The sequence below is a fragment of the Homo sapiens genome, chromosome 12, assembly GCF_000001405.40.
Source record: "Homo sapiens chromosome 12, GRCh38.p14 Primary Assembly".
NCBI classification, from domain to species: Eukaryota; Metazoa; Chordata; class Mammalia; order Primates; family Hominidae; genus Homo; species Homo sapiens.
Window position 1 is genome coordinate 45525622 of NC_000012.12, and position 27784 is coordinate 45553405.

The window sequence follows — 27784 nt, forward strand, 5'->3', positions numbered from 1 at the left end:
AAATTGAAACAAACAAAACAAACAAAATACAAAAGACAAATGAAACAAAAAGCCGGTTCTTTGAAAAGATAAATAAAATCAATAGATCATTAGCAAGATTAACCAAGAAAAGAAGAGAGAAAATCCAAATAACCTCACTGAGAAATGAAACAGAAGATATTACAACTGATACCACTGAAATGCAAAAGTATATTCAAGGCTACTATGAACACCTTTATGCACATAAACTAGAAAACCTAGAAAAGACGGATAAATTCCTTGAAAAATGCAACCCTCCTAGCTTAAATCAGGAAGAATTAGATACCCTGAACAGACCAATAACAAACAGCAAGATTGAAATGGTAATTTAAAAATTACCAACAAAAAAATGTCCAGGACCAAACAGATTCACAGCAGAATTCCATCAGACTTTCAAAAAAGAATTGGTAATAATCCTTTTGACACTATTCCGCAAGATAGAGAAAGAAGGAGCCCTCCCTAATTCATTCTATGAAGGCAGCATCACCCTAATACCAAAACCAGGAAAAGACACAACTAAAAAAGAGAACTACAGACCAATATCCTTGATGAAAGTAGATGCTAAAATCCTTAACTAAATACTTGCTAACCAAATCCAACAACATATCAAAAAGATAATCCACCATGATCAGATGGGTTTCATACCAGGGATGCAGGGATGGTTTAACATATGCAAATCAATAAATGTGATACACCACATAAACAGAATTAAAAACAAAAATCACATGATCATCTCAATAGGTGCAGAAAAAGCATTTGACAAAATCTAGCATTGCTTTATGATTAAAACCCTTAGCAAAATCAGCATACAAGGGACATACTTTCATGTAATAAAATCCATCTATGACAAACCCACAGCCAACATAATACTGAATGGTTCTTCACAGAGTTAGAAAAAACAATTCTAAAATTCATATGGAACCAAAAAAGAGCCCACATAGCCAAAGAAAGACTAAGCAAAAAGAACAAATCTAGAGGCATCACACTACCTGATTTCAAACTATACTTCAAGGCCATAGTCACCAAAACAGCATTGTATGGTATAAAAATAGGCACATAGACCAATGGAACAGAATAGAGAACCCAGAAATAAATCCAGATACTTACAGCGAACCAATCTTTGACAAAGCAAACAAAAACATAAAGTGGGGAAAGGACACACTTTTCAACAAATGGTGCTGGGATAGTTGGCTAGCCACATGTAGGAGAATGAAGCTGGATCCTTATCTCTCACCTTATACAAAAATCAACTTAAGATGGATTAAGGACTTAAACCTAAGACCTGAAACTATAAAAATTCTAGAAGATAACATTGGAAAAACCCTTCTAGACATTGGCTTAGGCAAGGATTTCATGACCAAAACCTCAAAAGCAAATGCAATAAAAACAAAGATAAATGGCTGGGACCTAATTAAACTAAAGAGCTTTCACACGGTAAAAGGAACAGTCAGCAGAGTAAATAGACAACCCACAGAGTGGCAGAAAATCTTCACAATCTATATATCTGACAAAGGACTAATAGCCAAAATCTACAATGAACTCAAACAAATCAGTAAGAAAAAAACAATCTCAACAAAAAGGGGGCTAAGGATATGAAGAGACAGTTCTCAAAAGAAGATATACAAATGACCAACAAACATGAAAAAATGCTCAACATCACTAATGATCGGGGAAATGCAAATGTAAACCATAATGCGATACCATGTTACTCCTGCAAAAATGGCCATAATCAAAAAATCAAAAAACAGTAGATGTTGGCATGGATGTGGCAATCAGAGAACACTTCTACACTGCTGGTGGGAATGTCAACTAGTACAGCCGCTATGGAAAACAGTGTGGAGTTTCCTTAAAGAACTAGAAGTAGAACTACCATTTGATCTAGCAATCCCAGAGAAAAAGAAGTCATTATTCAAAAAAGATACTTGCACATGCATGTTTATAGCAGCACAATTCACAACTGCAAAATTGTGGAACCAACCCAAATGTTCATCAATCGAGTGGATAAAGAAACTGTGGAATATATATATGATGGAATACTACTGAGCCATGAAAAGGAATGAATTAACAGCATTTGCAATGACCTGGATGAGACTGAAGACTATCATTCTAAGTGAAGTAACTCAGGAATGGAAAACCAAACATTGTATGTTTTCACTGGTACGTGGGAGATAAGCTATGAGGATGCAAAGGCATAAGAATGATACAATGGACTTTTGGGGATTTAGGGGGAAGACTTGGAGGGGGGTAAGGGATAAAAGACAACACATATGGTGCAGTATATAATGCTCAGCTGATGGGCACACTAGGATCTCACAAATCACCACTAAGGAATTTACTCATGTAACAAATACCTCAATAACTTATGCAAAAAAAAAAGAGTAAAAAAAAACCCCACAAAATCAACCATCACATTAGTTAATTAATAAAATATATTGCATAGCCTAATAAATAAGTTAATTAAGAATTATACATGATAGGCTGGGCGTGGTGGCTCACGCCTGTAATCCCAACACTTAGGGAGGCTGAGGCGGGCGGATCACAAGGTCAGGAGATCGAGACCATCCTGGCCAACATGGTGAAACCCTGTCTCTACTAAACTACAAAAAAAAAAAAAAAAAAAAAGTCAGCCGGGCATGGTGGCACGCACCTGTAGTCCCAGCTACTTGGAAGGCAGAAGCAGGGGAATCGCTTGAACCTGGGAGGCAGAGGTTGCAGTTAGGCCAGATTGCACCACTGCACTCCAGCCTGGCAACAGAGCAAGACTATGTCTTAAAAAAAAAAAAAGAATTATACATCATAATCAAGAATGTAAGGAACATCATCAGAAAATCAGTATCAGAAAATATATTAAATTCTATATTTCTTTTAAAATAAATAAAAATAAAAATAAAAATATAGTATTGTAATTTGTGGTATTAATAAACTAAAGGAGAAAATGATAATAATAAAATAATTTATTTGGCCAGGCACGGTGGCTCATGCCTGTAATCCCAGCACTTTGGGAGGCTGAGGTGGCGGATCAAGAGGTCAGGAGTTTGAGACCAGCCTGACCAACATGGTAAAACCTCGTCTCTACTAAAAATACAAAAATTAGTGGGACATGTTGGTGCGCACCTGTAATCCCAGCTACTCAGGAGGCTAAGGCAGGAGAATCACTTGAACCCAGGAGGCCGAGGTTGCAGTGAGCCCAGATCAGGCCACTGCACTCCAGCCTGGGCGACAGAGCAAGACTCCATCTCAAATAAATAAATAAATAAATAAATAAATAAATAAATAAATAAATAATTGATTCAGAAAAACATTTGATGAGGTTCAGTGTCCATTAAAAAAATGTTAGAAATAGTAAAGAACATCCTTTGTAAAATGTATTAATATATACCCAAACCCTAAATATTATAATTCATGAAAAAACTTTATATGCATAACTTTTATGATTAGGGAAAAGATAAGGATAGCATTGTTATCCACACTGTTCAATACAGTATTGGAGGTTGTGACCAATGTGATAAGGAAAGAAAAATAAGAAAAGTGTTTCTATTGCTAATTACATCCTATACATTTCCCTTTACCTACAGTTTTCATTGTTCTCTACAAATTTTTATATACTCTATTTTCATTTTCATTTTATTAAAAACATTTTCTAATTTTCCTTATGACTTCTTCTCTGACCCATGGATTCTTTAGAGTTGTGTTGTTTCATTTCCAAATATTTGGGGATTTTCCAGATATTTTTCTGTTATTGACTTCTCATCCAATTTTATCATGATCAGAGAAGCTACCTTGCATGATCCTAATTATTTTAAATTTGTTGAGGTTTGTTTTATGGGCCAGAACATGGTCTACCTTGGTGAATATTCTATGTTCAATTAAAAAATATATATTCTGCCATTGTTGAGTTTTGTGTACTATAAATGTGAATTAGGTCAAGTGGGTTGATAGAGTTCTTCAGGTGTTCTAAATCCTTAATGATTTTCTGCCACTTTATCAATTCTTGAAAGAGGAGTGTTGAAACCTCCAACTTAATTGTGAATTTGTCTATTTCTTCTTTCAGTTCTATCAGTTTTTAAGCTCTGTTGTTAGGCTCATCCACTTTTAGGATTTTTGTGTATTCATAGTGAATTCACTTCTTATCATCAGGTAATGTCCTTCTTTTATGCTTTATGATAGCTCATGTTCTGAATTTTACTTTGTCTGATATTAAAATGACCACTCCAGCTTTCTCTTTGTTCGTGTTTGCATGGAATATATTTTTCCATTCATTTACTCTCATCCTACCTAGGTCATTATTATTGAAATAAGTTTCTTATAAACATTTGGATCATCTTTCAAAATCCATTCTTCCAATCTCTGTTTTTTAATTGGTACATTTAGACTATTTATGCTTAATATAATTATTGATAAGATTGTGCTACAGCCTATCTTGCTAGGTGTTTTCTATGTATTCATCTGGTTTTTTTTTGTTTCTTTTATGTGTTATGCCTGCTTTTTTTCTTCCTGCCTTATATCTCCACAATTGAATTTATTGAAATTATTTCTATTTGAAAAATAATAATTACATATTTATGGAGTACAATGTGTTAGATATATGTATATATGGCCGAATAATGATATCAAGCCAATCAACACATCCATCACTTCACATACTTAGCTTTTTTTTCTGTAGCAAGAACATCTAACATTGCTATTCTTTTGGCAATTTTGAAGTATACATTACATTACTATTAACTATGGTCATTTTGCTACATGATAGATCTTAAAAACTTTTATTCCTCCTGCCTAATTTGAACTTTATACCCTTTGGTCGACTTCTCTTCATTCTTAATCTCCCCATCTTCACCCCCCACTCCAACAACTCTGGTAACCAGCATTCTAATCTTACTTCTAAAAATTCAATTTTTTTCACAATTGGATTTTTTTATACCTTTTCTTAATTTTTTAGTAATTACTCTAGGTTTTACAAAATATATCTTCAAATAATATTCTGTTGCTTCGTGTTTAGTGTAAGGACCTAAACTTACAATACTGTATTCTCAATTTCTCCCTCCCATCTTTGTGCTATTAGTTTCACGTCTTACTTTTACATACACTTTTTTTTTTTCTTTTGAGATAGAGTCTTGCTCTGTCATCCAGGCTGGAGTGCAACGGCATAATCTTGGCTCACTGCAACCTCCACCTCCCAGGTTCAAGCGATTCTCCTGCCTCAGCCGCCTGAGTAGCTGGGACTACCGATGTGCACTACCACACCCGGCTAATTTTTGTATTTTTAGTAGAAAAGGGGTTTCACCATGTTGGCTGGGCTGGTCTTGAACTCCTGACCTCAGGTGATTCGCCTGCCTCAGCCTCCCAAAATGCTGGGACTACAGGTGTGAGCGACCACACCCGGCCTACATACACTTGTAAACCAAGCTACATTGCTACTTCTTTTTAGACAATCGCTTACCTTTCAGAGTAATTTAAAATAAGAGAAAAGAATACTTTTTCATTTTAACTGTTTTCAGAGATCTTCATTTCTTTGTGTCAGTTCCAATTACTATCAGATTCTTTCCTTTAACATTTTTTGTAGTGCAGGTTTGTTGATAATGAATTCTGTTTTTATTTTTCAAAAAAAGTTTTTATTTTGTCTTCCCTTTTGATAGATCTTTTCACTGAATTTTAAGTCGACTTTTTTTTTCTTTTAGCACTTTAAAGAGACCATTGCCTTCTGGTTTGTATGGTTTCTGACAAGAAGTCCGCTTAATTTTTATTTTTGTTCCTCTGTATGTGATGTGTTTTATTTTTCTGGCTGCCTTTTAGATTCTCTCTTCATCTTTGATTTTTATTCACTTGACTATGATGGTCTAGCTGTAGATTTATCTTTCTTGGTGTTCTCCGACCTTGTTTGTTTGATTTTTTTTTATTATTGCTGGAAAATTCTTGGCCATTATCTCTTCAAATATTTCTTCTGCCTCATTCTTACTTTTTTCTCCTAAGATTTCAAAAACACATGTTTTGTGTTTGATTGTTTGATATGTTCTTAAGCTCTTGTATGCTCATTTCTGGTTGTTTTCTCCTTCCCCACCACTCTTTTTTCTTTGTTTTTCAGTTTGAGTAATTTCTATTGATCTATCTTCAAATTCACTAATGCTTTCCTCAGATGTGTTGAGTCTACTGATGAGCCTATCAAAGGCATTCTTTATTTCTGCAACTTTGTTTTTCCCCATAGCATTTTCATTTGACTATTTCTTATAGTTTCCATGCCTTCAGTGATATCTCTCATCTGTTTGTACATATCTGTATAACTTCTCCAAAAGAACTTTTAACAAATTAACCATAGTTGTTTTATTCCCTGTCCAGTAGAAACGATTTACTTTTTCTCCAGAAAAAAGAATGCTCTTTCTTGTTACTCTGCAAATGAGGGGAGGAGTAGGGGGTTTGTTTGTTGTCTTTGTCCAGCCTCAGCTTAGGCAGAATCTGTGTCCCTTGGTCTCAGAGGAAAAGCTTTCTTAAAGATCCTACCTCACACCCTGTCATAAAAGGCATAAGAAACCCAAATGGTTTATTGCCCTTCCCCCTGACATAGACGGTATTTTTCTTTTACCTTCAGCCACATGGGTATTCACAATGCTTTGGGGATTTCAGGGTTTGCTGCTGTTTCTTCACTGTCTTACGCCTTCATTCCTCAAAGAGAAAAAGATACAGACAGAGCTTCGCGGCTTTCTCACAGCAGTAGCTGCTGCCTTCTTCAAGCCTGTGTCACTGACAACAGGCTTTCTCTAGGCTCCCAAGCCTCCCTTAATCTTTCTTGTGAATATTAGCAAAGAAGAGCCTCTTTGTTTGTTTGGCACCTAGGTGTTCTGTATTCTCCAACTGGTCCACCCCTAAACTTTAGCAATTCGTTAACATGTTTTACCGAACTTCTTATCTGCTATACCAGCTTTTTCTGCTATATACAGCTTTTTCCTGAACTCTGCCAGAGTGGCCCACCCTGCCTTTCTTTAAGACTTCAGGCTAGTAGTTTTCTTTGTGAATTCAATTTTCTCCTAGAGTCAAGAAAATAGATAATTTTGTTGATTACCTAAGGTGTTTTTTTTTTTTTTGTTTTGTTTTGTTTTTTTTTTCCCAGAGTCTCGCTCTGTCGCCCAGGCAGGAGTCCAGTGGTGCGATCTCAGCTCACTGCAAGCTCCGCCTCCCGGGTTCACGCCATTCTCCTGCCTCAGCCTCCCGAGTAGCTGGGACTACAGGCGCGCGGCACCACGCCTGGCTACATTTTTTTTTTTTTCTTATTTTTAGTAGAGACGGGGTTTCACCGTGTTAGCCAGCATGGTCTCGACCTCCTGACCTTGGGATCCGCCTGCTTTGGCCTCCCAAAGTGCTGATATTACAGGCGTGAGCCACTGCGCCCGGCCGATTACCTAAGGTTTTATTTTTAGGGCGAATGCAACACTCTCATGGTTTCTACATCCTAGTTGGATGCCAGAAATTCTAATATTCATTTTTAGATAGCTTCCTGGTCTATGCTATAATTTCCCAATTGGTCTCTAACTTTCAGTAAAAGTTCATTACATTCTATAGCATTGATAGAGGGGCTTTTGCAAAGGAGGAAAGAAGAACATGTTTGGGATGCAGCAGTAAAAAGAGGCCAGTATTTCTAGACTTGTATTTCTACATAAAGAAAGTTTTTAAAAGTTAAAAAAATAAAGAGGCCAGTAGCTCACAAGCAAGAGGTGATCAAGATTATGTTGACAGCAGGTATTTGTAATTAAGGGTGAAAGGCAACCACCAGGAGCATACAAGCACTTTTTCCCATACTGAGGAGAATTTGGGAAGTACCTTTAACTTTCCACAGTTATGAGTAAACGAGAGTTCAATGAATTACATGTGGCTACTAAAGGAAAGAATGATCAGGGATTACTATGAGGACTTAGACTATCCGGATTATAGGGATATAGCTAAATCATTACATCTGTTTGTCATCAAACCTAATACAATAACTTCGACCTATTAAAAGTGGGAGATTAAGCTCTTTACACAGAAAAAGTTAATACTAAAATCTGGAGTTTACTTAGGTTCCCATTTTCACCACAGTACTTAGCTGAGTTACCTGAATTGTAACACAACAGAGAAAAAAAGGACTTAGAATGTTTAGATGCCTTCTTTCTTAAAAAAAAAAAAAAGATACAAGTTGGCTTTCTGTGTTATCCTATTTAAGTATTCTGATAAGGGAGCCCAAGTTTTAATTTTTATCATTATTGTCAAGGGGGAAGGGGATCAAATTTTAGAGGCCATCTCAGTGCCTGAGTAATTTTTTCCAATCCAGCAAGATCAGATGGTCTGATTGCCTTGCTCAGTGTTTCTGGTAGAAAAGGCAATTTTCAAGACTGAAATAGCAATTTCTTAGCCATCACTGGAGCTCTTAAAATCCATTTTTTAAACTCCCGTAGACTTCCATGTGTAAATGAAAGAAGACTCCTGGAAATACACATTTTTCTATTTTGAGAGATAACTCACTCAAGCATAAAGTTAATACAATTTATTACACCAAAAGTAAAGTTGCATTAGAGTGAGCTCATAACAGATGAGTAAACACACTTCACAAGAGTGGGGTTGGCATGTCTGCTATCCTTAGTTTGTCTTCTTCAGCTTGGATGCCTTCTAAATGTCTTATTCTTACATCGGTCCTGTTGGCAGAGGAGAGTTCTGTCCTTGTTAGAGAGGTGTTTGGAAACACCTTTAGACCTTTGAAAAATTCAGCACTAACACTAAGATGGGTCACTAGCCTTTGCTTATTCTGAGGGAAAGAAAGCCTTCAATTAGTATTTTAAAGTGAAAGTGATAAAATCAAATTGAAGGGTGCCTGAGTCGGGCTACTCTCATTTATATCATATGTTTAATGAAAACATACTAACTCTGTGACCTCAGGCAAAGGGGTTAACTTCTTTGAGCCTCGTTTTTTTCATACAGAATGAAAATTTTAATAAACCATGCCTTACCCATGGAATTGTGAGAAAACTTGTAAGCAAAGCATTTAGCAGAGTGCCTAGCACACAGTACACATGTAGTAAAGACTGGATTTTTATCATCATCATCATCATCATCATTATCATCATTACTACTACATCAAATATCAGGCCAAATTGCTACCTACCCTACAGCTTCAGTTTATTTATTTGACAAATTATTGAGCATCAATTGGGTACCAGGCTCTGCTCTAGGAACTTGTGTGTAATAAAATAAGAATATTGGCTTTGTCCCTGCTGCCACCTACCAGGAAGACACTTCATCTGCTTGAAATTGGGCTTCCTCTTCAATCAAGAGGAACTAATCAGCACCAGGCCTAGGGAGAGGTATGGGAGACTCGTGCACAACCCTGAGTGTAAGTGCCTCCTTAAATTTTGTACCCTAGGTAACTTGCTTGCCTCATTCTTGTCCCAGCATCTGGGAATAATAATACCTATTTTACATAGTTATTATATGAATAATGGAAGTAGAGAGAGGATAGACTATATTTGCCTGGTATGGAAGTGGGATTTGGGAAGGCTTGTCTATTAATGGGATATTAGGCTGGGCCTTAAAGGATGAGAAGAAGTTTATTAGGTAGGCATTGGGTTGTTCCCTGTAGGTATATCAAGGGGTAAATGATGGGTTATGCTTGGAAATGACAACATGACTTGAAAGGAAATTATGACAAGAGCTAAGAGTTATTATTATTTACCACCTACTATGTGCAGGATATGGCTGGACATTTTGCAAATATTGTCTTTAATCCTCATAATGGCCTTAAAAGATTGGTATCATCTATCTTTATTTTACAGCATAGCCTCAAAGAGCTAAGCCCAAAAAGCCAAAGAGTACCAGAAAGAAGTCCTTTCTGTCTAAAAACACCTCTTCACTGATCCCCAAAATTCCATCATTAACACTTCACCCTTGAGATAAGCACTGTTGGAAATGTGGATGGGTCATATGATCAACTCCTTATATTTTTTGGTGAATGAGTTATCCATCCACTCATCTACCCATTCATCCATCCACCTATCCACCCATCCATCCATTGACACACTCATCCCTCCACCAATCCATCTATCCATCCATGCATCCACCCAATCATCCATCCACCCACCCATCTGTCCATCCATCCACCCACCCATCCATTCATCCATTCATCTATCCATCCATCCATCCATCCATCCATCCATCCATCCATCCATCCACCCATTCATTCACCCATCCATCCACCCACCTATCCATCCACCCATCCATTCATCCATCTACCCACCCATTCATCTATCCATCCATCCATCTATCCATCCTTCCATCCATCCACCCACCCATTCTTCTACCCATCCATTCACCTATCCACCCACCCAGCCACCCTTCCATCAATCCATCCATCCACCCACCCACCCACATGTTCATTTATCCATCCATCTACTCATTCATTCACCCACCCATTCACCCACCCATTCATCCATCTATCCATGCACCTACCCACCCATCCATCTGCTCTCCACCTACCCATTCACCCACCCATCTACCCATCCACTCATATACCAATTTAATAAGAGATATTGATCACCTACTAAGATTTAGTCTCTGGGCTGGGACTTTTCTCCATGACAAGAAGGACTCAGAAGCAAGAAAGTGTATGCCAAAAAAGAAAAGTGGGGCCATAAGAACAAATTTCACTTATTTGAAGTTTTGCCTCAGGAGATATCCACATTTATCACTTAGTAATCATTAAGTCACGACACAGCATGATGATGCCCATCCTTCCTGCTGGATAACTCTCCCTTCACAGCTAATTGCCTTACATCTATAGCCTAGTTCTTGTCAGTTTTGTCACACTGTTATTACATACAGTAATGGTGTGTAAGATATTAGCCTGTCATTATATATAAATGTGTCTAAGGAAAACTCATTTCCAAGAATCATTTTTGAAAATGAATCCAGAAGAGAGGTAAAAGCTTATTTTCTGTCTCCAAGGACAAATAAAGTAACTCTGAGGCTTGTAACAAGAATCATTTAAGGTGGATATTATACCTCATAGGAATACCAAAGCCAGAATACATTTTGGGATGTTATATAAAGCCCAGGAAAGAGTTAAGCTGGAAATAGGAAGCTACTTTCATCTTCTAACTGTGCATGCCTTGAGGGTATGAATAACCTAGCCCTTTCCCCACTTACCATTTTTCTATTTAGTTTATTATGGTTAATAACATGTGACCAGAAAATCATTTTTACCATTTTCCCTCTGGTGCCATTAAGTTTAATTTCCTTGTTTTAATAATACAGCACCAGCGACTTGTCTGACATTAGAACTTTTTTCTTCCAGTTATCTATTAAAGTAATACTTTAATTTATTACAAAATATACATTTCACACAACTCTTCCTACCCAGTTTGTGATATCCCTAAGGGCCGAGCACTATCTGTGTACCCAGTATTTTCCCAATTTGTTTCTGACAACTTTTACTGCTGAGATGTAAACTGTATGAAATCAGACACTGTGTGTCTTGTGGTGTCCCCAGAACAGTGCCTGCATGCGGCAGGTGTTCAAGAATATATATCAAACAACCAACAAAATGAACACCTTCTGCTTTTACCCTCTCACTTCTGACCATACACGAAATAGCCAAAATATTTTTCCACTTGAAGAGTTTGTCTACGAAATGGAAAAGACATGGATTCTAATTTAAATGTTGACTCACCCAGAAAATGGATCAACTTTAGCACACTTTTTAAACTTTAAATACAACAAGCATTTGTTAAAGTCCTGCTGGCTATCAGTGGAGAACTCTATTCAAGGTGCTAAGGGCAAAATAAAGGTGACCCAGACACTGTGCCTGCCCTGCAGGGGCTTAAAGTTTGGTACAAACCTGGCGATTACCCGCAGGGAGAACCTAGAGTGACCCCAACTCCCTCCAAATGCCTGGAGTACTCATTGGAGCCATGCATTTGGCATGTCCAGATGAAGATTCAACTTAATGGCTCTAGAGATGAATTGCCTGGGTTCAAGTCCTGACACAATCAAATACTAGCTCTGTGATTTTGGGCAACTTAGTTTTCTGCACCTCAGTTTCCCCATTTGTAAAATAAAAATAAAAATTGGACTAATCTCATAGCATTGTTGTGATGATTAAACGAGTTCCTCTATGTAAAATGTTTAGAACCATACCTGGTACAGTATAAGCATTCAATTAACATTAGCTAGTATTTAGTTTATTATGGCTACTCTGTGATAAATTGTATTTTGCATAGCTGTCTTGAGCTACTACTATTAATTTCCTATTTTATGTTTTTAAATAGAAATATCTTCATTGCTCTTAAGAACAGCAGTCCCCAATGTTTTTGGCACAAGGAACTGGTTTCGTGGAAGACAATTTTTCTGTGGACCAGGCAGAGCGGGGATAGTTTCTGGGTGAAACTGTTCTACCTCAGATAATTAGGCATTTGTTGGATTCTCACAAGGAGCATGCAACCTGGATCCCTCACATGCACAGTTCACAGTAGGGTTCACACTCCTACCAGAATCTAATGACACCGCCAGTACAGGTCTGCAGCCTGGAGGTTGGGGACCCCTGCTTTAGAATGATATGTGATTGTTATAGGATAAATTATGTAGAGAATGACAATATTTGTAATCTTAACCCCAAAGATAACCATGGTTCATAATTTGGCAAATCTCCTTCCACATAATAATTTGCCTATTTAAGAATGTGTAGAATATACCCAAAGGATTATAAATCATGCTGCTGTAAAGACACATGCACACGTATGTTTATTGCGGCACTATTCACAATAGCAAAGACTTGGAACCAACCCAAATGTCCAACAACGATAGAGTGGATTAAGAAAATGTGGCACATATACACCATGGAATACTATGCAGCCATAAAAAATGATGAGTTCATGTCCTTGGTAGGGACATGGATGAAACTGGAAACCATCATTCTCAGCAAACTATCGCAAGGACAAAAAACCAAACACCGCATGTTCTCACTCATAGGTGGGAATTGAACAATGAGAACACATGGACACAGGAAGGGGAACATCACACTCCGGGGACTGTTACGGGGTGGGGGGAGCGGGGAGGGATAGCATTAGGAGATATACCTAATGCTAAATGACGAGTTAATGGGTGCAGCATACCAACATAGCACATGTATACATATGTAACAAACCTGCACATTGTGCACATGTACCCTAAAACTTAAAGTATAATAATAATAATAAAAGAATGTGTAGATATATTTTCAACATAAAAACTACACATACTGTTCACAAACAGCCTATTAATATATGGAAATCACCTATCTGTGTCAATATGTAAAGATCTATTTTGTAATTTATATAACCATTACTTTATTGGTGGACATGTAGACCATTTACTGTTTATATAGTATTTAGAAAGATTGGGCTGCAGTGTCCAAGCTAAAGCATATGTTTCTCATAGGAATGTCATTGAATTCCCAAAGAGCTTTGCAAATACAAATGGCTGCATAAATATTTATTTATTGACCATGTTAGGAGAATGGGAAAAAAAGAAGAGATCTTTAAATGCAGAAAATTATATTTCTACAATTTTTTCTAAGCGTTCTAAAAATGATTTTGACTAGCATGATATAACTATTTTCAGGGTTGTTATGAAGACAAAATAAGGTATTATAAAATGTCTGAACCCTATAAAATACTCAATAGATGCTGGCTATTATTGCTATTAGAACAGCAATTAATGGGAGACGAGATTAGGCACCAGCTGTCTTTGATGACTTAATCATTGACCTACGGAAGGTGAAACAGATCATCTCTAGCAACAACCTTTGTCTCTAGGATTCTGTTCTTTAATGAGTAGATACTGTACTAAAGATAAACTCAAGCATGGAAATAAAAAGAGGATAACTGCTCGCCCTGATTCTTCCAACAACTGAAAATTATCCACATGATGCTTGTTAGCTAATAAGAAAGGTTAGAAATAGTGTTTATCAAAATTGCCTTTGCTATTTAATGACCTGTAGAGAGACTGGCACTTTCAACTAGTATTTTATTACCTCATTCAGCTTGCCCACGATAGAGAGAGATCAGTTAGGAAAGTGTGTAACTAACAATTGGACATGGAAGAGAGGCAGGAAAGATGATTATTGAATTAGACTCAATTTCTGCTTTTTATATCATAGTCTTTTTATTCAGAGTTTCTTAACCTTGGCATTATTAACATTTGGGGCTGGATATTTTTTTGTTGAGGAGGGCTCTCCTGTACATTATAGGAAGCTTAGCAGTACTATTAACCTTAGCAGCATTATTAAGCCAGCCAGTAGCACCTCTCCCTTCCCCCACATAAGTTTCGACACCCCAAAATGTCTCCGGACATTGCCAAATGCCCCCTGTGGGACAAAAGCACCCCCAAGAGCCACTGATACATGCATGTGCATATTTTTGTACAGCATTTTACACTTTGCAAACACATTTAATACTCATAATAGTTGTGTGAGTACGCAGGGTAGATATTCTCTCTCCCCCTTCCCATTTCAAAGATGGGAAAGCATAATAATGTAATAATAAATGTTGTGAAATCAAAATTTAAATTTTTAACCACTAAGATGCCATCGTGAGTCAGACAGGAAGAAGACCGATTTATTTTTTAAAGTATTTTAGTAAAATAAGCAGTCAAAGCTTTTCCCCTTTACTTGAAGACCAGAAAAGGAATACTCAGGCAGCCACCCTCAAAGAGGACCCCCTAAGCAAAACAAGTGTGAAATGCAGCCATGTAACTCAGAGTTAATTTGGGGTTGAATTCATTAGCTGTAAAAATAATGATGTGATGAAAAATTTGCCTGCCCCTGCAGAGATAGGAAATGGGATAGCATGTGAATAAATGATCCTAATAGCTGTGATGGTATATCTTTAGGAGGTATGAGCATTCCATCTATAGAGAAAGTCTGCCCATTAATTAAAATTCTTATGGAGAGACACAAAGAAGATTAAAGTAGATAAAAGCTGTAGCACCAACAGGCCTAAAAACCAGTGTCTTGGAAAATAAAGAAACTGCCTGAAGACAGGGAATTATAATCTAAAGATATTGAAAGAAGAGAGGTTTCTAAATGCCAAGAAAAGCTAGATTCCCAAGGAGATGGGAAATAAGATGAGTAACTGTAGGAAATCCACCAAGGTCATCAACTCTCAAGCTGAACCCTAAGTGACACAAGCAGACCTCTATTAATCTGCACCTGTCATTTCACTGATTGTGTAGATATCAACACAGCTGCTTATTTCTGCTTATTTCTGTTGAGGCTTTTTACTACACCAGAACTCAGGTTTGTAGACAGTGAAAATGTCAGCACATTAAAAACATTCTGCTTCACATGTGTGAGATAATAGGATTTGGGGTTAATGAGCTCATGTCTGGGATATCGATCCAAATGTGAATAATTTGTAATTGGCCATCACTCAATGCCAGCTTATAACCAGCCCAGGCTATATGAATGGAACACTTTGTTCACTGAAATGACTATAGAGCCACAAAAACCAAAACTTGCTCAAAGAACTGGCCAATTGCCAAACAGCATCTCCCCTCCTCTCTCTTCTTATTCCCTGACTTCCAATTAAATACTAAATTGCTAGGAGAATATAAGATAATACATAGGGCCCATCATAAATTCCTCACCCAGCAGGCCCCATATATAGAATGAAAAAGATGTGATTTAAGATATAACAAGAGGCCCCCCTTTCACCAGCAAGCATCACTTTGATTATTTTGCCATTGCAAACCCAGGTTTTGAAAGATTTTATCTCGAAATACTAAAGTTGCTATATTTAAAATATGGATGTTTTAAATAATGCCCCATCAAGCTCTAGTTTCCTACAATTCTATCTATGGTACCACTCTTTTGGATGAAGATACTTTCTTTTTGTTTCTGATTTGGATGACTTTTAAAAAAATTATTATACTTTAAGTTCTAGGGTACGTGTGCACAACATGCAGATTTGTCACATATGTATACATGTGCCATGTTGGTGTGCTGCACCCATTAACTCATCATTTACATTAGGTATCTCCTGATGCTATCCCTCCCCCGACCCCGACCCCACGACAGGCCCCCCTGAGTGATGTTCCCTGCCCTGTGTCCAAGTGTTCTCATCGTTCAATTCCCACCTATGAGTGAGAACATGCGGTGTTTGGTTTTCTGGCCTTGTGATAGTTTGCTCAGAATGATGGTTTCCAGCTTCATCCATATCCCTGCAAAGGACCTGAACTCATCCTTTTTTATGGTTGCATGGTATTCCATGGTGTATATGTGCCACATTTTCTTAATCCAGTCTATCATTGATGGACATTTGGGTTGGTTCCAAGTCTTTGCTATTGTGAATAGTGCCGCTATAAACATACATGTACATGTGTCTTTATAGTAGCATGATTTATAATCCTTTGGGTATATACCCAATAATGGGATCACCGGGTCAAATGGTATTTCTAGTTCTAGGTCCTTGAGGAATTGCCACACTGTCTTCCACAATGGTTGGACTAGTTTACACTCCCACCAATAGTGTGAAAGCATTCCTATTTCTCCACATCCTCTCCAGCCTCTGTTGTTTCCTGACTTTTTAATGATTGCCATTCTAACTGGCATGAGATGGTATCTCATTGTGGTTTTGATTTGCATTTCTCTGATGACCAGTAATTATGAGCATTTTTTCATGTGTTTGTTGGCTGCATAAATGTCTTCTTTTGAGAAGTGTCTATTCATATCCTTTGCCCACTTTTTGATGGGGTTGTTTTTTTCTTGTAAATTTGTTTAACTTCTTTGTACATTCTGGATATTAGCCCTTTGTCAGATGGGTAGATTGCAAAAATTTTCTCCCATTCTGTAGGTTGCCTATTCACTCTGATGGTAGTTTCTTTTGCTGTGCAGAAGCTCTTTAGTTTAATTAGATCCCATTTGTCTATTTTGGCTTTTGTTGCCATTGTCCTGAATGGTATTGCCTAGGTTTTCTTCTAGGGTTTTTATGGTTTTAGGTCTAACATTTAAGTCTTTAATCCATCTTGAATTAATTTTTATATAAGGTGTAAGGAAGGGATCCAGTTTCAGCCTTCTACATATGGCTAGCCAGTTTTCCCAGCACCATTTATTAAATAGGGAATCCTTTCTCCATTTCTTGTTTTTGTCAGGTTTGTCAAAGATCAGATGGTTGTAGATGTGTGGTGTTATTTCTGAGGACTCTGTTCTGTTCCATTGGTTTATCTGTCTGTTTTGGTACCAGTACCATGCTGTTTTGATTACTGTAGCCTTGTAGTAGAGTTTGAAGTCAGGTAGCGTGATGCCTCCAACTTTGTTCTTTTGGCTTAGCATTTTCTTGGCAATGCAGGCTCTTTTTTGGTTCCATATGAACTTTAAAGTAGTTTTTTCCAATTCTGTGAAGAAAGTCATTGGTAGTCTGATGGGGATGGCATTGAATCTACAAATTACCTTGGGCAGTATGACCATTTTCATGATACTGATTCTTCCTATCCATGAGCATGGAATGTTCTTCCATTTGTTTGTGTCCTCTTTTATTTCGTTGAGCAGTTCTCCTTGAAGAGGTCCTTGGATGAAGACACTTTCTAAGAATAGTATCTATAAGCCAAAGTATCCACGATTAGTAACATTGGCAATTTATTAGTTTAACTATCAAAGAACAGAGCCTCAAAGCCTCTGGCTACTAGGACTGGTAATTTAAGTGAAGGAAGACAAAATTCAGAGAAACATGAGATGTCAACTTTCACTCAGTGGAGGCTGGAACCGTTGGGGGCCCTGAGAAGCCAAGGGCAGCAGGTTGAGGAACAAAGTACGAAGGACAGAGGGCTGGTCTTGGCACTGGGCTTGAAAACTACATTTATGATGTATTCAATGTGTAATAATTGGGCAAGCCTCTTAAGCTCTCCGAGCTTCAGTCCCTATATCTGTGGGTAGACTAATGCCTACCTTAAAACTTACTAGGTGAATGAAACAGAGGATAAAGATACTTGTCACTTAGGAAGTACCCATTCTAAACTTACTTTCTCTACTTACTTTCTTTCCAGTGTGGCTCAAGTCAGCCCTGTACTGGATTGTAGAGTAATTACTATTAATCCTGAACTGTTAAAGGGTTCAGCATCTTAAAACTGAATGATTAAAAGAAAAGTGGTCAGAACACGTGTGAATATACAGCTATATTCATTCATGGTTTATACGAAACACTAAATATGCTAGATAAATCCCCATTTCTGCTGCTGAAGTCCTGAAGAATCAGAACTCTTGAAATCTTAGCTTCAAAAGTCACATTGCAGTCATGAGAATCAGACTAAACCAAAAAGCCCCATGAAGAGCTTGAAGCTGGGTTTGGATTCTTCCGCACAAAGATCAACACTAGGGGGAGACTCTATCCCTTCTCAGCTGAGAGTGATTTGGCAATCCCCTTGCTCGGTTACCACCCAGTGCTCTAGGAGAATTGCCTGAGTAATAACAAGTTCAATAATTGATGAATAGAGCTGGGCAGGCAGCAGATGCCACTGGAGGGATGTGATGAGTAAAACCCAACAAAATGACAAAAATTTATCTTCCCAAAGTCATTCAGAAAATCTTAAAAAGTTAAGATCAAGAAAGCCACAGCTCTTATTTCACTTGATGGATCAAGTATTCATCAATATATTTTTATAATTGTATTTTATTTTTTGGTAGAAAAGTTATATTTAACAATTAACTATATTAATGATAAGGTATTAATGATGGTACTGATAACAAAAGTAATTATAATGCCTGATGTGCACAAAGCTTTGTGCGTACTCTCTTTAAAAAAAATTATTTTAAAAATTCTTCCAACAATCCAGTCAGTAGGTATTATTACCTCCATTTTTCTGTTAGAAAATTTAAGGAATAGAGAGGTTAGATGACTTAAACATGGTTAAGACCACAGACTGCGCAATCGGACTGACTGGGTTCAAGGCTCAATTCTACCATTTACTAGCTGTGTAACCTGGCAAGTTAATTTACCTCTCCGTTCCTTATTTCCTTGTGTGTAAATGAGAGTAATAATAGTACCTACTGCCTTTGGTTGTTGGGAGAGTTAAATGAGTTACTACGTGTAAAATGCTTAGAGCTGTGCTTGACAAATCGTTAGCATTTGATGTGTTTAATTAGCCATTATGTGACCCAAAGACACATATTTATTATTTTATATATGAATTACTTAATTACGATTGTACTTGTGTCAGGCACTGTCTTAGACCTAGCAAAGAAAAGATTGTATGGTTTATGGGAAAGGCAGACATTATGTAATTTTCGTAGGGTGTGATGAGTTTTGCGGTGGAGGCAGTAGGCACCATGCAGTATGCAGGGCAGTAGGCAGGGTAGGGGCCAGGCACGGGATGGTAAGACCAGGGCCCAGAGGAGAAGCCAGCTGTATTTGAAACAGCAGCAGCAAAAAAAAAAAAAAAAAAATGATTCTCATCAACAACTCTGAAGCTATTTCCAAGGCTTATGGATGAAGGAGACTCTAAAAATTTTAATACCTAGTCTTAACTCAGAAACTTTCTGAGCAAATCATTTGACCCCTGGATTTCCATTTCCAGATATATAAAATGCTGATTTCTTAGGGTTACTCTAGGAAAGAGTGAAGATTACTGTATGGGCTTCCATTGCTTGTGAAGAATCTACAAAGGCATGAAAACCTGGTGGTGCGATTATCGATGGGTAACTACCTAATTAACCACACATCTTTTCTTAGAAGAGATTATGTCAAAGGAGCACATATAGAGGAAAACCCTCAGGGACTTTCATTACAGAACCCCAGAGCCAGAAAATATCTTCGGGTTCATTGTTTGGTGGCTTCCAAAGTTTTCACTACTACAGACACCTTTCACTGGTCTTCTATCATGAACTTTATGGTTTTAGAGATTTGAGCTACCATGTTGCCTACATTAAGTAATTTTGTTTATCCATTTTGATTCAGTAGAGAGCATTTCATTTGTGCAAGATGCAGGTTTTAACATCCTGAGCTGATATAATCCAACCAAAATAAAATAAAAATCTCCCATCACACACTTATTGGAACAAATTAGGAATATATAGAAAGGAATAGCTTCATCACCACTGTCCAGATTTTGACATATTTCCTTTCAATCTTTATTTTAAGTGCTGTCTTTCTTAAAATACCTAAGATTGTACTGCATGTCCTTAAGGCAATGAAAATGGGCATTTCTTGATGTGGTGCTGGAGGGGTATTGGGTATCATTTACCCTTCCCAAGCCTGGGTTGTGCTATGTGACCCCCTTCCCACACCCTGAGACCCCAGACTACCCTGTCAATACGCTTCTAACACTTCCATACGGTACTCAATTAATCTGTTGCTATCTAACAGATTAAATAGCTTTGATTCCCCCTTTATACTGTAAAACTGTGTCTTATTCATCTTGGTGTCACCAGCACTTTGCAACCTATCTGACATGTTGTACAAAGTTGATACTTTTTATGCTGTACTGAAATATATATATACATATATACTGTTATATATAAAAGTGTGTGTGTGTGTATGTGTGTGTGTGTGTGTGTCTAGAAATCTTGTAACTCTACCACTGCCTTTGCATATCACAGGAGGCTTGGTTTGGTTCTCTTCTTTCAGATTAAAACACTGAATACCAACGTGGTTGATGGACAGAGGATTCCATATATAAGACTGAGTGATTGCCAGAAAGCAACAGAGGACAGAGGCTGGCATATTCTGGAATTCCATCACTTTAAGATAACCACTATTTATATTTTAGTGGTACAGTAATATCACAATACTCTTTTATCCTGAGCAATTTTTTAAAATGTAGACTTTTTAAAATCCTCCTCCTTCCCTCTGTCATTGAGCATTCCTCTTTTTTACCAGACATTCCTCTGCTTCATCCTAACTCCAACATAACCAGGGTTAGTGGCCAGTACATATCCTTTCATGACATTTTCCATGTTGTCAGAATCATAAACAAACATAAACAAACATGGAGTAGGGTTGTCATTTTCTGATTTTCAAAAATAGGCTCATGCTATATATATACTTCCCTAGATCTTGCTTTTTGCCCTTAACAATACATTGCAGAAATATGTCTGAGTCAGCTGGTTTTGATCTACCTCCTGTGAAGTGGGTCCCATGGTCAGATGCTATGCTGTATGGGATTCCACACCTGCAGATCAGGCATTTGGCAAGCTCCTGGGTGAGTTTTGGCTGAGGCTTTGCAGAAAGGAAAGGCAAACTAACACCGAGAATCAGTATCTGTCCTGTGAGGTCAAACCACTGGCCCTTCCAGGATGGACGTGACCCTTTGTAGCTGAGCTGCTACCAAGATGCTGGTGGTGTCCTTGAGAAACAGTGTCCATCCTTTTCCCCAGTCCTCTGACCAGCCAGCTGGGTCACTGGCCCCAGCCCAGATTTCTAAGAGCGACCCTAGCAGCAAGTTTGCCCCATCCCCTGGGGTCCTCGCCGGCGTTAAACCCCATGTACTGAGAAAGTTCCCTAAAGTCAGTGAATTCTTGCTTATCCAGTTGTATGTTCTGCCTCCTTGATTAAGCCTCATCAAAATTTATTCCCCAGTGTACCTCCCTGGCTCCTGCCAGTAAGTGCTATTTAATCTTTGAAGCTCCTTTGAGGTGTAATCTCTTTCCTCCCTTATCAGTCCTAGCACATTCCTAGCTCAACTCTGCTGGGAGTTAACCCTAGTTATCATAGAGGCATTCAGGAGAGGCAGTAGAGGCAGCTCCTTAGAGGAACACCTGTTGCTTTGTGGAGGAAGGCCACAGCAGTCTTCCCACATGAGGGAAGGGCTAGCTTTTCATCGAGAGGGTTGGGCTCAGAGTGTTGTGGGTTCAGAAGAGTCCACACAGCTACAGTCCTTGCAGGCAACCACCCAGATGTCCCCATCCCATATTTCAGGATCCTAAGCTTTCCCAACCAGAGCCCTGATCTTAACAGTACAGACCTGACTTGTTGAGAATTTACAGGTCTCTGGAGCTCCTGGATTCTAACTACTAAGTCCTACACTTGCTCCTCGGCTACATCCATGCTTCCACTGCAGGAGATTAGGGCCTCTTACTAAACTCCCAAAGAGGCCTTACAGAGGGGCTCTCCAGCTCCCACATTCAGCCTATAGATGTTCACTCATAGCCCTCAGCTTCTCATTATCTCCCTGCAGAGCATTAATACAACCTCTAAACATCAACTAACATCACTGCCAACATCACTGCATTTGTTCCTCCCCATTGCATTTAAAATATCTGAATCATCAAGGGCATTTCCATCTACCCAGGTCACCACTGGTTAAATTTTTAGCAATTGAACTGCACTTTATATCAGGGATTATCCATGTCTACATAATACGTGGCATATTAGGCAGAGTAGAATAATGCCCCTCCTTCCCCACAAGATGTCTCTGTCCTAGTCACCAGAACCTGTGAATATGTTTACTTACATGGCAAATGGGACTTTGCAGATGTGAATAAGCTAAGGGTCTTGAGATGGGAAGGCTATTCTGAACTGTCTGGGTGGGCCCAGTGTGATCACAAGAGTCCTTATAAGTGAAAAAGGGAGATAAAAGTCAGAGCTGGGAGAAATTTGAAGATGTATGCTACTGGCTTTGAAGAACGGTCTATAAACCAAGGAACGCTGGCCTCTAGAAGCTGGAAAGTGCAAGGAAACAGATTCTCCCTGAGAGCCTCCAGAGGGACACAGCCCTGCTGACATCTTGATTTTAGCCCAATGAGACCCATTTTGGACTTTTGTCTTCCAGAACTTTAAGATAATAAATACATGCTGTTTTAAGCCACTAATTTGTTACAGCAGCAATAGGAAACTAATACTCATGGGGTGGGGTGCTCCTTGCCACCAGCGAATTATCCAACCCCCAACCCATCCTACTGCCTTCGTCCTCAGACCACTCCTGGTACCAGTTGTGTGTCTGGGTCCTCTGAGAAGCAGTCACCAAGTTGGAATGCAACTGGCAAATGATTATTGGAGGAAATACTTATGAAGCATAAAATGAAAACAGACAGGAGTAAGCAGACAGAGTCTTCAGGTTGTGATGCAAGTCTGACAACTGGGAAAGGAGAGAGGGAAAGAAGGACTGGATAGGAGAAGGTAGCTCGGAGAAAGTCTCAGCCAGATCACTCAAGGTACCAGAATAAAGATTGTCCCGTCCAGACAGGGTGGTCTCAGCCTGAGTGCTGTGGCATGTGTAAATGTTTAATGGCTGGAGGCTGTCAACCAGATATAATTTGCACAGCAAGTTTTCTCGAAGGAGATCTGAGGAGCCCATCTCCGCAGTAGCCATACTAACCCACCTCCTACCCAGGCCCAGGCAGTGCTAATTAACCAGAGGCCCGCTACAGGGGCAGACCCATAGCCACTGAGCTTATTGGCCAAGAAAATATCAGCGTTCATGCTCTCTGCAGGTAAGTAGATCCCAGAAGTAGGAAAGGACAGGCTGAGCAACACATGTCTAAGTCCCGATCCTCAAATTTACCGATCAGATAATTCACTTAGGGAAATGAAGAGAAGTCAGGATTGTTCTCCAAACAGAGCTCTCTTTACATGGAAAAAAATGTTAGAAGAGGAAAATAATGTCCTATTCTATCAGATTATTGGAAAAAATTTTAGTAGATATTAGATATTGCCAGATTGCTTTCCAAAAAAGTTAAAGCATTTTACACATCCACCAGCAATGCTGAGAGGATCTTCTTCTCCTATGTCCATACAGCATTAGGCATTATCACTCTTTTTGATTTCTGCCATTCTGAATACTTCATTTTTATTTAACCTACATTTGCTTAACTACTGGGAAAATAGAACATTGCTATGATTTGAATGTGAGTCATAAAGTTCATATGTTGGAAACCTAATTTCCAATGCAACAGAGTTGTAAGGTGGAGCCTTTAGGAGGTGATTAGGTCATGAGGGCTCTGCCCTCATTGACGAATTAATGCCATTATCACAAGAGTGAGTTCCTAATCAAAGGGAAAATTCCACCCCCTTTTACTCTCTGTCTCTCTCTCTCCCCCTTTCTTTGCGATGCCTCCTTTTGCCACCGGAGGAAAGCCCTCACCAGGTGCTGGTGCCTTGATCTTGGATTTCTCAGCCTCCAGAACAGCAGAACTGTGAGAAATAAATTTCTTTTCTTTATAGGTTATCCAGTCTCTTTTATTGTGGTTAGAGCAGCACAAAACAGACTAAGACAAATATCTTTTTGTATGGCGTTTGCTTTCACAGTTGTATGACCTGTCCATCCACAAGCTTGGTTTACTGACTTGTTTGGGTTTCTTTTGTTAATGTGTTTGTAGAAGTTGTGTATATATTATAGATACTAACCTCTTATTTACTATATGCATTGCAAATATTTTTAAAACAGTTTTTGGCCCATTTTTTGATATCTATTATCAGACAAAACAAGCTCTCATAAAGTCAAATATCTTTTCTTTTATAGTTTTTGGATTCCCCATCTTTGTCTTCATGATCTCCCTGTCGCCACATTTTCAATATAGTCTCCTAAATTTTATTCTAAGATTTTAACTAACTTATTTGTTCATTTACTATTTCATTCAACTGAAATTTATTTTTGTAGTATTGTTTCTTGTTACAAAATAATACATGTTTCTTGTAGACAGTTTAGGAAACTTCAGATGCTGAACAAGAAAAAAATTTAAAATTAGTCTTAATTCCCCACCTTCTTAATATGGAGCCCCTGTGAATGTCTCCAGCTATATCCTTCCAGGCTTTTCTTCTATGCATTGTACATTGTCTTACATTTTTAAAATTATATTATAAATTCTGTTATATAGCCTGCTTTTGTCTAACAATACACTCAGAACAATTTTTCAAATGTACCCTCATTTGTTTAATCACACCTCTATTTTTGGACACTTACATTGTTTTTCACTTTTTGCTATGATAGATAATGTGTCATGATGCTGCCTCTCATTTGTTCGACTATATTTTGCCCTGTGTTAAAGAGCTCACTCATTTTCAAATATGTTTTTTCAATTTTACTAGCATCTAAAATTACTTGTTTAAAAATCGGGTAAGGAGAGGGAAAGAAGGTCCTTTTTTTTTTTTTTCTGGGTCACTGTATTGAGCTATACCTAAATTAAATAGGGGACTTGGAACTATTTTTACAAAAAACTAAGTCTGTAGAATGCAATTGATAGGCCTAGACATTATGTTTCTAAAACGCATCATCTAGAAAAAGTTCAGAATTGAAGAATTCTGAAGTTAAAAAACATAAGCAATAAACATAGCATGAGGAAAATCACCAGGCGGAAGTATCAGAAAATCCTAAAGCACCAGCAGTCAGATAAAGGATTAACAGGGTAACAATGCCAGTTCTCTTAATACCACCACCGCCTACACACCAAGAAGCCACTCCTAGTTCTTTTGGAAAGAGACAGATATAAATCAATAAATCATTCCATTTCAGGACTTTACTAGAATTTCAAGACAAATAACTGAGAGGCAGAAATACTAAGAATCTGGGAAGGAAGGAAAAAGAAACAAACAAACCATGAGTAAAGAGCCTATTTTTTATTAAAGTATAATTTAAAAATAAATATGAATATTCAAAAAATAATCTACATGAAGCAAAAGTATCTACACTCATCTGCTATGAAACCTATTTCTAGTTGACTTTAAAATTCATTGTGATTTTAGAGTTTCTCTGCCCTTGCTCTCTTCCATGTTTAACCATATCCCAAACAAGACAAGAAAAGAAATACTATTGAACTGTACACAACAAACCATGGAATGTGAAGTTAGATGGGAGTTTAGAGCTCAGCTGGTCTGGCCCCAGTATTTTACCATTGGGAAAGCCGAGGTCAGGAAAATGGAAGTAACTTGCTGAAGGTCATACAGCTGGTTACCTGCTAAGCCAGGAGTGGAAATGCATCTCTTGCCTCTTAGCACAGTGCTCCTGCTACCAGTATCACACATCAACAACGTAATCACACCCATTCTGGTGCCTTATTATCATCAGTTATCCATCAAATTAGGAAGGCAACAAGAGGAAATTTACATATATATGTGTAAAAACAATTATTTGAGCACTGATATCAGTTCTTTCACTGTTCTTTGGCCTTTGATGTTCACATGTGAAGCTTTCTGGAAAGGAAAGACCAGACCTGCATGATAAGATAAGCCTGGATGACAGTGGGGCCTACTCCACAGAACAGGTGTCCTCAAGCATCACTACTGCTTCCAATGTTGAATAAGAACAGCCCAATCTTCCTGGCTCTTTTTGTTCAATTCATGGTCCCTGGCACAGAAGGCTCTTCCCTTAAACATTTTTCCTCTGTGGGGATTTTATAGTTAAGAGCTAAGTGGAAAATGTTCAAAATGATCAGATCTAACACACTTCTTATTAGCAAATTTAAAATGCATATTATTAAACAAGGACATTCTTGACTTGATATTTTTAAGTTCACGTTTTTAAAAAATTGAGGAAAAAAGTAGGTGTAGCCTAGAGCAAAAATTCTTGACTTTTCTCCAACACAACCATGTCCCATCTGTAACAGTCACAACAGGCTGTGATTTCTGTACATAACCTGGCTTACTAGATATAACTTTACCCTTTCTACTCTACTACCACTGATAAAACATCATAAATAGTATCATATTTGGATATTTTAAGATAAAATCTGATGCAAGAGTCAGGCTCCTCTTTAATCCAGAGCTGAAAGCTGTCTTATATGAATAATATGTATGTATTTTTACTACTACTAAGGGCAAAAATGGCCAAAATTATTCTACTTGTGAATTAACTACATGCAATTGTAGTTACTTTAATAATAATCATAGTTAACTAGAAGAAATATTTTTAAAATGCTTAGTACAGAGCCTGGCATACATAATGCTCAATAAATTTTAGATGACACTATTGTTGATGTCATTGAAAACAACTACCAAGTACCAATTGCATGTAAATATTTTACAAGCAGGATAATCTGTACCCACAAAAACAGAACTCCCATGTAGCAGGTGCCTCTGGTGCTCTTGTCACACGTCCTTGGCTTACTTCTGATATCAGCCATGGCTGTAGTAGACAGTTCCGTGCAATCAACTCTCCCACCTCACGCTACACCTTGGATGTGTGTCTTACCACATTCTGCTCTGTGTCAGAGAGCTTACTCACTGGGACATGAAGAGCTGAGCCTAGAAGTGCAGGGGAGGTAAAGCTTAGTGGGGAAACCCTCACTCAATGAGGGGCAACAGCCACTGGCTTGCAGGAGGACAATTCTAGGAAGCATTCTGTGTGTTTCTCAAGAGGTCTCAGCAGAATTGTCTTCCCCACATTGCTCCTAGCAGGTGACTTCTTCTTCCCCAACTCACACCCCTGGCTCCCTCACTCCTGCCTCTAGAATCACCTCCCAAACTAACCAGCTGCACCCAACTCCTTGTCTCAGGCTCTGCTTTGCACGGAATATGAATTAAGGGATTCCACTTCCTAAGTCTAGGTGATTTCCAGAAATATAAACTACAGTGCTTTCAGTGGGTGGTCCTCAACACAAAGCAACATCAGATTATTTTTGTTTTGCATTAAAAATATTTGAAATGGAAGAGAGAACATTATCAGCCAAGACCTTTCTGTAAAATAGAGTTCATAATATCTTATTGTGGAAACCCCTTAAAATGTTGTGGAAAATAATTGTGTAAAGAATTGAGGGAGAGCAGAGGAAACAGGAGAGAAAACCCAAGACCTGCAGCAACTTTGATCATTATTCCCACGTTCTGCATTGATGAGTCAGGTGATGACTGGCTCCTGT

General features: G+C 38.2%; 1 long non-coding RNA gene across 2 annotated transcripts in view, besides 1 other annotated feature; it reads right to left on the reverse strand.

Annotated features, from left to right (window-relative positions):
* Positions 1 to 27784, reverse strand: part of LOC105369743 (uncharacterized) — a 178153-nt gene that overhangs the window by 134930 nt on the left and 15439 nt on the right. The window lies entirely within an intron of this gene.
* Positions 18225 to 18519: an enhancer, noted in NCBI's record as "tiled region #5471; HepG2 Activating DNase unmatched - State 12:CtcfO". NCBI's record gives its function as "activates a minimal TATA promoter and a strong SV40 promoter by Sharpr-MPRA in HepG2 cells {active_cell/tissue: HepG2}" and the evidence as "EXISTENCE:reporter gene assay evidence [ECO:0000049][PMID:27701403]".